The following is a 14,229-nucleotide window of genomic DNA, read 5'->3' on the forward strand; positions in this document are numbered from 1 at the left end:
ACTCACATAGCAACCCTGAAAGGATTACCATTCCCCTCTTACACATGAAGAAACCAAGCCTGGAAGAGATGAAGAAATTTGCCTAAAGTGACATGCCTGGTAAACAGTACAACCAGAAGGTCATTCCAGCTGCGTCTGGTTCCAGTACCCAAGTTTCAGCCACCACACATGACTGTCAGATAGCTTTTCAATTTCGGAAGGCAGCTAACTGCAACCACTTTCTCCCCAGGAAATCTTATGCTGTGAGAGAGGGTGAAATAAGTTCATGCATCTTGCCTTATCTTGGCGACTCACATGTTTTGCTACTGTATCTGAGGTTTGACTACAAAGAGACACAACTGATTTTACAACAAACATGCCCAGTGATACAAGACGAAGCATTTGAAGTTCCAATCTTTGATCATTTGTAGCCTATTAAAATAATTTCTTATATTCCAAAATTAATGCAAATGATGCCACTTCTTTTCAGGAAGCCCAAAGGAAATGGCTTTATTCTAACAATGCTCTCATTATGCAAAATGTTTTAAACAAAATATTTTCTGGAAGCCCTCTTTTAGAGGCCCCCTAGGACCTGTGGTGAAGCCTTTTTCTTTTTTAATCATCATCAAGACTGAAACAACTTATTTGTAATTTGAGAAATAGCTAAAACTTAAGTCTAGTGAATATGGTGATTGCTCAAGCCAGGGCACCATATTCTGGATTTCAAACATTGTATAAGTTGAAAAATGTGAGCTACAAACATTTAAAAGTATATTTTTGTGGTGTGAGTCATAATTCTGGAAAAGTCTTGGACACCATCAACTGTGTTGCTATTTAAAGTATAACCTCTCAAGGCGACTTCTTTGTGGCAGAGACTAGGCATTTGCAAGGCCAGGCTCCCATGTGCACTTTGTCCATGCAGCTGCTGAATGTGCGGAAGACACACCAGCAAATCTGAGTGGCATGCCTACATACATTTAGCAGTAACACCCTTTCCCTTAGGGCTCGTGGGACCTGCAGTGACAGTAGATGTGTATATCCAACTGTCAGAGGTGTTAAACCAGAACAACTCCACCTGGAATAGGAGCTGGATAAAACAAGGCTGAAACGTACTGGGCTGCATTCCCAGATGGTGAAGGCTTTCTAAGTCACAGGATGAGAGAGAAGGTCAGTACAAAATACAGGTCACAAATACCTTGCTGACAAAACAGGCTGCAGTAAAGAAACCGGCTAAACCCACCAAAGCCAAGATGGCCATGAGTGTGACCTCTGGTTGTCCTCACTGCTACACTCCCACCAGCACCAAGACAGTTTACAAATGCCACGGCAACGTCAGGAACTTACCCTCTATGGTCTAAAAAGGGGAGGCATGAATAACCCACCGCTTGTTTAGCATATCATCAAGAAACAACCATAAAAATGGGCAACCAGCAGCCCTCGGGGCTGCTCTGTCTATGGAGTAACCATTCTTTTGTTCCTTTACTTTCTTAATAAACTTGCTTTCACTTTACTCTACGGATTCGTCCTGAATTCTTTCTTGCACAAGATCCAAGAACCCTCTCCTGGGGTGTGGATCACAACCCCTTTCCTGTAACACAACTACAGGGAAGACACGAATGAAAAAGGCCGAATCAATGACAAAAAAAGGAAAACAACAGAACCAGTAAATGTGGTATTACTAAAAAGTTCCTTTTGATTTTAGCATGATTTTCACACACACATGCAGAGGGAAATTATAAAATACAAACACTCATACATATCTTCAGCTGAGGACTGAGGCAGCCCTGCAGGAGGGGCTGGCCCAGGACCTCAGCGTAGACAGCATCATCAACACGGATGTCTGTGTCCCACACAGACCAACTCTCTGTGTGATGGGAAACTGATCATGGGCCTGACCACTGGGTTCATCTCCTGTCAAACATGCATCAATCACCTAATTACTTGAGAGCTTAGTTAAAACCACGGTAATCCTTTGTTTTTGATGTTGCTTATCTAGAAAACTACAAGTCAATAGATAAGCGTAAAAACAGAGCTCCCAAAAGACGCATATCCATCTTTTCTTCCTTTGTAACTTTTTTTTAAGACAGAGTCTTGCCCTGTCACCCAGGCTGGACTGCAGTGGTGCAATCTCAGCTCACTGCAACCTCCGCCTCCCTGGTTCAAGTGATTCTCCTGCCTCAGCCTCCCGAGTAGCTGGGATTACAGGCGCCCACAACTGCGACTACGCCTGGCTAATTTTTGTATTTTTAGTAGAGATGGGGTTTCACCATGTTGGTCAGGCTGGTCTCGAACTCCTGACCTCAGGTGATCCACCTGCCTCGGCCTCCCGAAGTGAGGGGATTACAGGCCTGAGCCACTGTGCCCAGCCCTTTGTGACATTTTAAGGCGACTGGGCTTGCCATGTCTTAGATTGGTTCAGTGTCCATCTCTGTGTGGTCATCAAGTTGCAGACTGACTTCCTGCCTCCTGCCTGGGAAGCTCCCTCCATGCCAGACCCTTTCTTATAGGTAAATAGCATATTTAGAGTTATTGGTAAATGTGGTTTTTGTAAAGGGAAAGGAGTTTATTTTTATAAAATGGCTAGAGACCTTATATTTTACTGGATTTATACATCTTATTTTGTGTGAATTCTTGGTTTTGGCGGGAGAAAGAATATACAGAATTTTTACTGAAGGACACAGACACACCATGCTGAAGAGCCCTGCGGTGCAGTGAGACAGGGAGGTCCTGGGCCACCTGCTGTGACATGAACTTCACCCAGCTGTAGAGCCCTAGAAAACTGCGAGACCATTCTGGGGCTTGTTATAAATATTCAAAACAGTCAATACTGGTTAAATTCTGAGAACACTGCTTGATATATTAACCTCTAGAGAAGTGGTTTTATATACATTCTCTTCATTAGTACTTTTATTTTTCAAAATTAGGTCATGGGATTTCCAGGAGCTCTTAAGTAAAATATTATCTCTCTATGGACTTCTCCTCTTACAATTCCCCAGTTTGGAGTAATCTAAAGCTAACAGCTACAAAAAACCTTTTAATCACTAGAATCTGTCTTTGAGATTTATCATGGGTCATGTGTGAGTTTTTAAAACAATGAAAAAACTTGTATACCCTGTAAAGAATTACAGAAGTTGACATAACTTAAACATGTGCTAATATTTACGATGTTAAGTAAAAGAGAAAAGCCTATTATATTTTGCAAATATAAGTTAATTCTTTGAATAAAACATCCCATTATGTAATACAAAGTGACAGCAAAGGCATATTATTTGAGTCTATGTCTGCTTAGAATTGATTTCATTGTGAAGTTTAAAAAATTTCAATTCCTGACTTTTAGGGAAGGCTCTTCATTTAAAAATAAATAGGCAGATTGATGTTCTGTATGAATCAAAGGCAGTTTTAATTGTTTCGTTTTTTAAATTTTTTAATTTTTTCCTTCCAAATCAAGGCTGGGATTTTTTTTTTTTTTTTTTTTTTTTTTGAGACAGAATCTCGCTCTGTCACCCAGGATGGAGTGCAGTGGCGCGATCTTGGCTCACTGCAAGCTCCGCCTCCCAGGTTCACGCCATTCTCCTGCCTCAGCCTCCCGAGTAGCTGAGACTACAGATGGTCGCCACCACGCCCAGCTAATTTTTTGTATTTTTAGTAGAGACGGGATTTTACCGTGTTAGCCAGGATGGTCTCGATCTCCTGACTTCGTGATCCACTCGCCTCAGCCTCCCAAAGTGCTGGGATTACAGGCGTGAGCCACCGCGCCCGGTCAAGGCTGGGATTTTAAACGTCTGTAAAAGTAGCTCAATGTTTTTAGCTGACATGTTAATCTAGACATTTATTTTTACCAAGACATAGCTTTTAAAAATAAGATACTGTCCTCTAAGGTATATTTTTCACTTGTAAGCAACTATGATGTAGTGAACATAACATAAACAGACGTTCTCTCCTGGATGAGCCTATCATAAAGGCTGAAGTTTTTTGTTTTACAGGTTTCGTGCAGTTTTATTTTCCTCTGTACACAATTTCACCTGCATCCCATGCAAGGCAGTTAAATTGTGTATTACTAAAAACCATTGAATACCTAAATTTATTTGAGATGTGGGGAAATTAGGCTGTCAGAAGAATGTGTAACAGACAGTAATTACCTCGCTTTACTTGTGGGTGCCCACACCACACTACGCCGAAATGAATTCTAAACAGAATGTGAATAGCTCCCAGGACAATTTTAAGGCTATTCTGTGGCCTTTAAAATAGCTAATGTTCATCCATATAGAGTTGACCACTTTCTCCTAAAACACCATTTGGCAGTATGGCATGTTTGAGGCTGACTGTCTGGACATAAATGGGTTCTGAGCACACCCCCAGCAATACTTGAGTGTTCGAAGACTGTGGGGAACAATAAAGACAGCACCCCAGAAGTGTGACTGTTATAATGATCCAGGCTCTCTGATACTCATTCATTCCCTAGCCATTCTTTAATTGAAATTCTTGAGTGTCTACCATGTGCTGAAGATACAGAGGTGAGTATTGCAAGTCTCTGTCACCAAAGCCTTTGGGGATTGTAGAAGGGCAAATTAAAGAGCAATATCATTACAACTCTGCAGGAAGTAAAGTCAGGCACATGGTGGTGGTAGCCCAGGGTAGAGATGACTCACTGCACCTGCAGGTGGGAGCTCAGAGAGCATTGAGGAGGGGACACTCTCTCCAGTGCAAAATTCAAGAGGGTGCCTAAACCCTCCAATAAATATTTTAATGCAATATTTGGAAAAAATAAAAAGAAAGGCAGAAAATCTATGATGAACAAAATATGAAAATTTTAAATAAAGACAAGATCAGTACTGCCGATGTTTCCTTTTGCCTCTTTCCTGTGATAAAGTTGGAGTATGGCTGAATATGGGAGCTGTAGGTTAGGATTCCATGGAGACGATAATTTAGGAGGGGACTGTGCCATCTTAAAGATGGGGCATTGGAGCTAAGAATCACAGGGGAGGATACGCTCAGGTGGAAGGGGTGACAGGAGTGAGAAGTCACTTGGATTTAGGGAGTGAGGGAGAAATTTAAGGTAATACCCAGATTTGTTGTTTAGACAAAAAAAAAAAAAAAAAAAAAAGCAGGATACTGCTAATAGCATTCGCAGAGGAAGTAGATCCAGGAGAACAACAATAGGTTTGGAGAAGCCGATCACTTTGTGGGTTGCGGGTAAGGAGTGTCAAGTAACTGACCATGATCCTACTGAGACAGTACCTGCAAGGTTGAATGGTTGCCTGAGCTACAGGTAAAGGTTTCTGAGTTGGGCTACAACAAATAGGTGATGGGTGAAGCTGGGGGCCTGAATGATGGGGAGCAAAGGGCACCCTGACATCACCAACCTTTGTACTGAGGGACTTGTGACCACCACCTTCAATGCCCCTGGAATCATTAAACTCCCATCACATTACCTATGCTAACAGTTTAGGGAGTCTCAAGCCATTAAATACAGCTCTGGAAAGCTTTTTCCTAAAGAAGCCGGCTGATTGTGCCCCCAGGAGCGCATCCACAAGATAGTCACCAGGCTGTTTCCAACATGAAATACTCCATCACTCCATCAGTAATCTGTCATTCTGAATTTTCTTCCTGGGAACTTGTTTTTTCTGAGGCTAAAGGTCTATACAGAAAACTCCCCAGACTTTCAGACCAGCTGCATTCCTTCTTTGCCACAAATTAACAAACTGGCCTTCTGACACACATGTCGTTTTGGTGCAGGGCCGTGAGCGGGCAGTCTTGCCTCTGGTCTGTGCGGGCTGACCCAGACACACTGAGAAGACGGAGTTGCTGCATCCAGTGGGGAAGGTGCAGGTTAAACGCATCATTCTGCTCTACTGCATTATGTGCTATTAGTATATAACACGTGTTTTGAAATTAAGAAATTTAGAAGTGCATTCTTTGACCCCAAGAGTAGAGCAGGCATGTTCTTCCCAGTGTGTGCGCAGCAGCAGAGTTACAGAAGGTGCATCCTTACCAATGCACAGGGGAGACGGATAGTTCCAACGGCGAACGGTCCCTGGCATACAGGAAATGTGGGAACGGCCCTGTTTAAAAGAAAACAAAAGAAAATACATATAACTAAAAACAGAGTATTTAAGGATTAAATGTTTGAGAATATCTGCATTTTTTCCTTTCTTGTTTTAATTATAAATATTTGAAAATTCAAAAATTGTGAAATCTGTTTTTAGTAATGATTATTAGTGAGTCACATTTTGAACCAACATAGAAAAGTATCCATTTTCACCGTGTTTCTTTCTACTAAAAACAAAATCTTGCAATGTCCTTTTGACCAGACCATAATTCGACTCAGCTCCTTTCTTGATACTTAAGAGTACTGAATTGGGCAAAATATGCATTTTTTTTTTCATTCACCAGAATTTACAGCTTTTGGCCTAAGAAGCTGAAAACAATTAGAAAGTACTAGGTGGTGATTAAAAGGCCAAAATGTCAGCAATACAAAGTCTGCTTATGGAGAGGTAGCTTCGGTGGTTGTCTGTGCTTCCGCGTCACATGACTACCAGGGTTCAGCAAAGCACTGGGTCGTTTCTTTATCACAGAACGGAGACTTCACATTCATTTTCTCACTAGACATCCTCACACATCACAACAACCTGCCTGCAATGAAATTAACCCTCATCACTCAGGGTCTCTTTACCCTGTAAATACATGAATTTTCCACTTTCTACTTTAAAAAATCTGTTCCAGTCTTTCTCAATGAAAAAAAAAACAAACAGTAGAGGGTTAAATTCAAAGATGTTTTGTGCTAACATCTCTTTCTCAGTAAAAGAGAGGTGATCCATGAGACCTCTGTGTGCGGCCTATTTTTATATTTTTCCTGATCGTGACTCGGTGGCCTTATCAGCCAGGTTTGCTTATCTCATAAATTTCCATTTGCCACCCACAATTGGCATAGAGGCAATTGAAAAACAATATCTAATGTATGTTAAATAATTCCAGCCACACTGGGAACGCATCAAACAAGCGTTTGCACTAATGCAGTTATCAATGGCAAACCGATTCCCTAAGCTCTCAAACATTTCATACTCAATCCACCTGCCACAAAACTAACTTTCTCATACCTCTTGATATTTTTAAAAGTAGTTACAGTAAAGAAGACCATATTTAATTTTAAAGAAGATACTCCAGGTAATTTTGTGCTGCCGGCATTGACACTCTCTGTATCCCCATTCTTCGACGCATTAAATTATCCTTACAAATTTCCTTCTGAAATAGGGAAAAACATAGAGTTCAAAAGTCTCAAAAAATTTTCATCAGAGACTACCAATAAAATGGTCATTTATTACCAATCTAGGTAATATTCTGCTATTGATTTTGTTATAAACGTTTCCGATGAGCGATTCTAGCTACAAGTTTTCTAATAAATCAAAACAAGATAGGACCCTGTGCATTTATTTACTAGTTTTTACACCAATGGGAATTTTCTTTTTTATGTTTAAAAAGACCATTAAAACAAGTTGAGAGAAGATGGAAGTCATACATCATTCCAATATTCAGGATTTACTTTCAGCGTGTGATGTCATGGCAGCCCCTGAATCACACTAGGCATATGTATTTATAGACACTCACGTGTGAACTATGCAAGGAACAATGCTTTTCATGACTAATATGTAATTGATGCATCTGTTGTTCCAAATATATTAAAGTGTTAGTAAAATTGTCAGTTGTTAGCAATTCAAAAAAAATCCAGAATCCTTTTTTGCTCATGTGAATGACAAACAGCAGCTTGCAAACTCAAAGCTTGGCATTGTTTGTAACGAAGAAAAGAAACACAGCTTAGTTTGCATTTGAAAAACAGAGCTAATAAACGGTCTGCTGGGACTGTGCAGAAGTGCATCCACAGGCCTGTGTCCCTAAGCAGCATATTCAATAATCCATTATAAGAAATTTCTTTGGTAAAGAATTATTTCTATTTTCTTCTCTGAGAGCTGTCATAATATCATTTATAAAAGAACGGCAACAGAATCTGCAAAGTCTCACCATCAGGTAGAAAGAAGAGGAACATCGATGAGCAAGAGCAAATATTACAGTTTGGGAATTTGAGGGAGAATGGAGGAAACATGATATTTACCTGATTTCAGGCAATTATAAAGCAAGCCCCGAAAAAGGCACAAAAACAGCATGTCAGTACAGATTGAGGTGTCCCTCTAAATGAGATCCTTGAGATATGAAAGACAATTCTTTTCTTTTTTTCTTTTTTTAAGATAGGGTCTTGCTCTGTCACCTAGGCTGGAGTGCAGTGGTGCAATCTCGGCTCACTGCAACCTCCGCCTCCTGTTTCAAGCGATCCACCCACCTCAGCCTCCCAGGTAACTGGGACTAAAGGAATGCGCCGCCATGCCCAGCTCATTTTTGTATTTTTTGTAGAGATGGTGTCTCACTGTGTTGCCCAGGCTGGTCTCAAACTCCTCGATTCAAGCAATCCTCTGACTTTGGAATCCCAAAGTGCTGGGATTACAGGTGTGAGCCACTGCAACCGGCCTAGGATAATTCTTTCTGACATATCAGGTGGATCAGGAACGTTGTGTCCTAAAGATTCAGCCTGAATAGCTTGAGTGTGTTTGGTTACAAACTTACTGAGGTATCCCAACTTTCAGGAGTCCTTACTCACCAGTTTCCACTACAGAGACTCTCGCTCTGCCTCCAATCTTTTTGCAGAGTTACAATTATTGTGGTACCCACCAAGATGGTGTTATAATGTAAGTGGTAGGTTTGTTCTTACGAAGGTGGCTTTATACATTGATACTGGTTTCTAATAACAGCTACAATAGTTTTCCTATACTAAAGTGTGCCAGTTATTTCACAGATATTTTCTCTAAGCTGAAAGCATACATCACATGGTACCCATGTCCCACGGTTGATCAGGAGAAGTGAGATTTTGTATATAAAGCACTTGGTAATGCACCCCTTTAGCATTCAGCGTTTGCCAGCCCCTGTTCTTGCTCTTAACTTGATTCACTGCTACACAATATTTACCCCAATGTACATGCAGAAACTGAATTCCACACAGTGCTGTTATTTCACGGCTGTAGTGTTGCAACTCTGCATATAAGAACATAGCTAAACAATTTTCCTTTAAAACCTATCAGTGTCAGTGTCATTATAAACATACAGCTAAAATATTCTATTACCTGAATTAACTGAAGAGCTGGAATGTCAATCGACCTATATATTTCTCCTGACTTTAGAATATACATGTTTTGATTATCAATTTTTATTGCTGGCAGAGAGAATTATATAATAATTATGCTAAGTGATAGACACTATTCTGAGAGTAGGCTTACTCATGGTTAAACTAGAAAATATTAATAATAAATAATAAGAGAAAAATGACTACTCTTGCCATACATTAGATTATAAATCATTCATCAAAACTTTTATATAAAAAACTCTTGGCTGGACACAGTAGCTCACACCTGTAATCCCAGCACTTTGGGAGGCCAAGGCAGGTGGATCACCTGAGGTCAGGAGTTCGAGACCAGCTTGGCCAACATGGTGAAACCCCATCTCTACTAAAAATACAAAAAGTAGCCGGGTGTGGTGGCAGGTGCCTGTAATACCAGCTACTTGGGAGGCTGAGGCAGGAGAATTGTTTGAATCTGGGAGGCGGAGCTTGCAGTGAGCCAAGATCAAGATCATGCCGCTGCACTCCAGCCTGGGTGACAGAGCGAGACTCCCTCTCAGAAAAAAAAAAAAAAAAAAAAACCCTCTTTATATAGAAGATAGTAAAAGTTCATTGAAAAACTTCTACTTAATAGTTTTTAAAACTTACTTAAATGTTTTATTTTGGTGCCTTATCTACCTAGCCCAAAGAGGGCATTAATGATGACTTATACTGAATGATGAGAACAGTTTGCAGGGTAGCAGGTGCACATACAGAAGCAGATTCAATTACTGGCTGCCAGGAGAGGACTTTCAAAGAGACAGTGTTGATATTTTGCCCCTAGAATGCTCTGTGCATAGTTATTGGGAACGCATATATTTTGAAATAAAACAATTGTGAAAAATACAATGCTTAGCTTTGAAAGAGTACATTATCACTTAAAAGCTGTTTCCAAATGGTGACGAAGATGACCAACATGCATGATTTAATATGAATAGTATGATTCACAAACTGAGTGAGGAAAACATGGGTACAAAGTGAGGGCTTTGGCTTTAAGAGAGCTGCACAAAGATGACCATGTGTATGTTATTCCTGAGCACTGAGAAGAAGGATACCTGCAGGGTGTACCCGGGCTCGCACTGGAAGGAGAGCACGTCGTTCACCATGTACCGATCTCCGATTTTGATGCTGTTGCTGGGGAGGGCTGGTTCTTGGCATGCAGCAAGACCTACAGCTAGAAATGCAAAGACAAATGCTAGAAATTATATGATGTAAACAATATTCTTATCATTTGAATAACCAAAGTTTATTTCTATTGCTCTCCTTCTGTAGAAATGAACAAAGACTTCAACTCTTTCTCTTGTTATTCTACCAAGAAGACTTTGAGTACCTTTAAATCAGAGCTATGAGTTAATTGTTAAAAATTAAATTATCTTATTTTCATTACACAATGAATCAAGGCTTTGATTTCAATAACAAAATTTGTTACTTCCACATTGAGTATAGAAGATCCCAACTTCAATATATACATATTGTAAAAAGTCTCTTCAAAAATTGTGTTTTTATGATATGTAAAACTCCAGGATATTGCCCTCTTACTTTTGTTTTTCAAGCATACTTAGCAGTCTTTATATAAAAAAATTATGTGTGAATCTTGGAATTCTGTTCTTCTACAAAAAAAAAAAAGAGAAAAAATATTTTACATTCAATCTCTCTCTCTCTTTCTCTTAAAGACAACAAAAAAGGATCTCATGAACAGTCTGTTCTTCATTAAACAGAAACAATATTTACAGAACCTAAAGCTGTAATCCTGCACTTTCCTAGATGAATTGCATTCAGTTAAGACACTCACAGATTTTTTTAAAGGCATCATATAATACTGGAACTCAGCCTAAGGTATCAGATAAACGAATTCTAAAACACTGAAACCTCTCTGTATAAATCCTTATCATAAGAATAAACAAGATATGCAGCTACCATATTTTGTAGAATCAAAAATTGATTTTGGTTTATCAAAAGGTACAAACTTTCCATTATGAGATGAGCAAGTTCTGAGGATCTAAAGTGTACAGCATTGGATGTTGATGGATATATTAATTTCATTTAATTAAAAAATGCATTTGAAATGGTGCTAAGGGCTTGTTGAATACAAATAATTTATTCCATTATTCTAACATGTCATGAAGAAATAGTGGAGAAAGGCTTCTCTTGGTAGGCCAGCTTCACATTCTTTATGGGGCCTTGGATTCGCACTTTAGTTCTTGTACTTCACAACAACAGGAGAGAACTTATCAGATTACTTAATTGACTGGGACTCTCAGAAAGGAAGCTGGGGTGGAGGAGGTGAGTAGGACTTTAGTTAATCAGAAGGAAAAAAAAAAAAACAGCAGGAGAACAGGTCCACTCAGGGGCAGTCCCATGCTAGTGGTCCCCAGGCACAGAGAGGACGCAGCTGCCTGCACTGCCCATGGGCCGGTCCCCACGCGGGGCTCTGCCCTGAAGCCAGTCAGCTTTCCCTGCTTCATCTGCTTCATGCCTGCTCCACGTCTCACCAGACTTCACTTTCCGAAAAAGAAAAAAAAAAAAAAGCACAAGTGCAAAGATAAAATGATTAAGAACTTCAAAACCAGCGGCCACCAAGCACGAGACCCAGTGTGACTCACGCAGTGCCCACTCAGGAAGCAGCTGTGGGTCGAAGCTACAGAGTCAGCAGCAAGGTCAAGGGAAACCCTGGGTCATCCCTGCATGGCTGTCACTGTGCCAGACGCATTATACTAACTCCAGTCCCCACCAGACCCTCATAGCCAGGCTCCTTGTGTCTGATATTAAACAAAAGGCAAAGTGAAGTCAGCCTGGCTGCAGAGTTGCACAGGTCGGTGTGTCCATGTATATGAGCCTGATCTCTCATGCGTGTTGAGCTAACAGTACACTTCCTCCACTGCCTGGATGATGGAGCCTGTAAGAGATGTGTTCACCAGTGCCGACCCCAGATCTGCTGAGTCGGAGGCAACACCATCCCAAATCCTTCACCAGCTTGCCGAGTGTTTCCCCAAATCTGAGAGGGCGAAATGGAGAGAGAGAAGTGTCTTCATCTTACAGTACCGTGATTGTTCATTTGAGAATCCCATGCTACGGAATCCAGGTCAGAATGGAAAGCAGTGGTACATAAACTAGTTGAGTAATGTCAGGCCACAGAACCCATTGATTCTGTATAGAATGAGTAGGTAGGAGGAGTGCCACGAACTTTTTCTAAGTTGAAATAGATTTTTCCTTAAATGGCTGCATTTTTAGAAGTATGAAGTACCATAAGCATTAAGCAGCAATATACTTTATTCCTACCACAGATTTTCAAGCCATTGGGGCTTTACATAGAAGATAAAACTGCTAAATATGAAAAAATATATACAATCACTTAGGCCTTTAACTTCTTTTACTAATGTAAGTCTAAAATCTTTTGTTTTAACTTTAGAACATAGATTACTACATTTAAATCCCATCTTTTCTTTCCTACCACATATTAGCAAGGTCATCTACCATACATCTCTGAGTTTTTTATTTCCCCCTGAAAAAAATGTATACTTAAAATACTAGGTAAATTTTAACTACAGTCGGGAATACTAAAAATCTACTTTAGGGTGATACTAAGTCATCGTCATTCTGAGATACTTCAAGGACACACCAGGTGACACAGAACGAAGAATATCGATTACAAAAACAGGTTCCAAATATCAAGACAAAATATTTTGAAATGAAAAGTGAAACATTACAATTCATATTAAAGGCCAGTTACTAAACTTGCATGTTTTACCCATAAGATATGATGTGTTTTTATTATATATTGATTTATATGCAGTTATTACATATTGATTTATTGTCATTTTCTCCTTTCTTGAATTCTATTCAATTGATCCTCTGGGGAAAAAAAAATTGCATTTATATCTGGCCTTTAAGGAATTATAATTAATTTATAATTAATTATAAATAAATGAATAAAATAAAAACACACAAAAATACCATTTTGACCGGTGTTTAACATGGCCAGACTCAGGAAGCAGTTCTATGCAGAGCACAATATTTGAAATGTAAAAAGAACCATCTTTTCTTCTCCCTTCGCCAGTGTCACTACACACCCAGTATATGTTAGAAGCTAAGAATGCAAAGAGATTAATACCTGGTATGTGTAAGAATATTTTTTATCAATATTATTTAAACCTGCTACTATATTAAAAGGAGTGACAAAGTGCATAAGCGATTGATATGATCAGAGCCCAAGTATTTTCCATACTTTGCATTTCTCTCATAAAGATGCACTAATTCGCTTGCAACACTAGGAGTAATTCAAGTCATCATGAGAACAGTGGTTTTTAATTTTTATTTTTTATTTATTTATTTTTTTATTTATTTTTGAGACAGAGTCTCACTCTGTCGCCCAGGCTGGAGTGCAGTGGTGTGATCTCAGCTCACTTCAAGCTCCACCTCCCGGGTTCATGCCATTCTCCTGCCTCAGCCTCCTGAGTAGCTGGGACTACAGGTGCCCGCCACCACGCCCGGCTAATTTTTTTATATTTTTAGAAAAGACGGGGTTTCACCATGTTAGCCAGGGTGGTCTTGAACTCCTGACCTCGTGATCCACCTGCCTCAGCCTCCCCAAAGTGCTGGGAGAACGGTGGTTTTTTGTTGGTAAAGGTGTGTCAGATGCAGGGGCAGAAGACAGCTAGGCTTGACATACAGGACAGTGATGGGGATGTTAAAATAGGGCAAGAGTGGAGCACAGGAGAACTCTGAGCTTTTTGGGAATGCGGTGAAACCTTCTGAGAGAGAAATCAACCATCTACAGAATGGCTCCGAAACAGAAAAGCCAGAAAGGAGGTGGGGGAATGTAGACAATAACATAGAAGACAAGGCAGTGAACCTTCTGACCTTTAGGGGACAGAAGGTCGTCTATTGATGAATTTTTGGTACAGAAAAAATTAGACTATTTATATTTATTCACTGTATTAGTCAAAATGTGAAACAAATATGATATGATAGGAAGTAGGCAGGGTGGTGTTTGGTAATAAATATGAACTGTGTAGAAGGTAAGCTTGAGTCTATACATGTATACATAATTC

The 14,229-nt window shown here is 39.8% G+C and overlaps 1 protein-coding gene across 5 annotated transcripts in view, besides 2 other annotated features; it reads right to left on the reverse strand.

Annotated features, from left to right (window-relative positions):
* The window catches only part of CSMD1 (CUB and Sushi multiple domains 1), a 2,059,554-nt gene that overhangs the window by 216,565 nt on the left and 1,828,760 nt on the right, over positions 1-14,229 (reverse strand). For all 5 annotated transcript variants that reach the window (XM_011534752.3, NM_033225.6, XM_011534753.4 and 2 more), the window contains 2 exons: positions 10,234-10,352; positions 5,972-6,041 (listed from right to left, as the gene is read on the reverse strand). In XM_011534752.3, the coding sequence (XP_011533054.1) occupies positions 5,972-6,041; positions 10,234-10,352 (189 nt within the window). The remainder of the gene's footprint in view (positions 1-5,971; positions 6,042-10,233; positions 10,353-14,229) is intronic.
* Positions 11,115-11,615: an enhancer, noted in NCBI's record as "H3K4me1 hESC enhancer chr8:3020562-3021062 (GRCh37/hg19 assembly coordinates)". NCBI's record gives its function as "activates a minimal SCP1, AML or CMV promoter by ChIP-STARR-seq in primed H9 embryonic stem cells {active_cell/tissue: H9 hESC(primed)}" and the evidence as "EXISTENCE:reporter gene assay evidence [ECO:0000049][PMID:30033119]".
* Positions 11,616-12,116: an enhancer, noted in NCBI's record as "H3K4me1 hESC enhancer chr8:3021063-3021563 (GRCh37/hg19 assembly coordinates)". NCBI's record gives its function as "activates a minimal SCP1, AML or CMV promoter by ChIP-STARR-seq in primed H9 embryonic stem cells {active_cell/tissue: H9 hESC(primed)}" and the evidence as "EXISTENCE:reporter gene assay evidence [ECO:0000049][PMID:30033119]".

This window comes from Homo sapiens, chromosome 8 (assembly GCF_000001405.40).
Source record: "Homo sapiens chromosome 8, GRCh38.p14 Primary Assembly".
Lineage (NCBI taxonomy): Eukaryota > Metazoa > Chordata > Mammalia > Primates > Hominidae > Homo > Homo sapiens.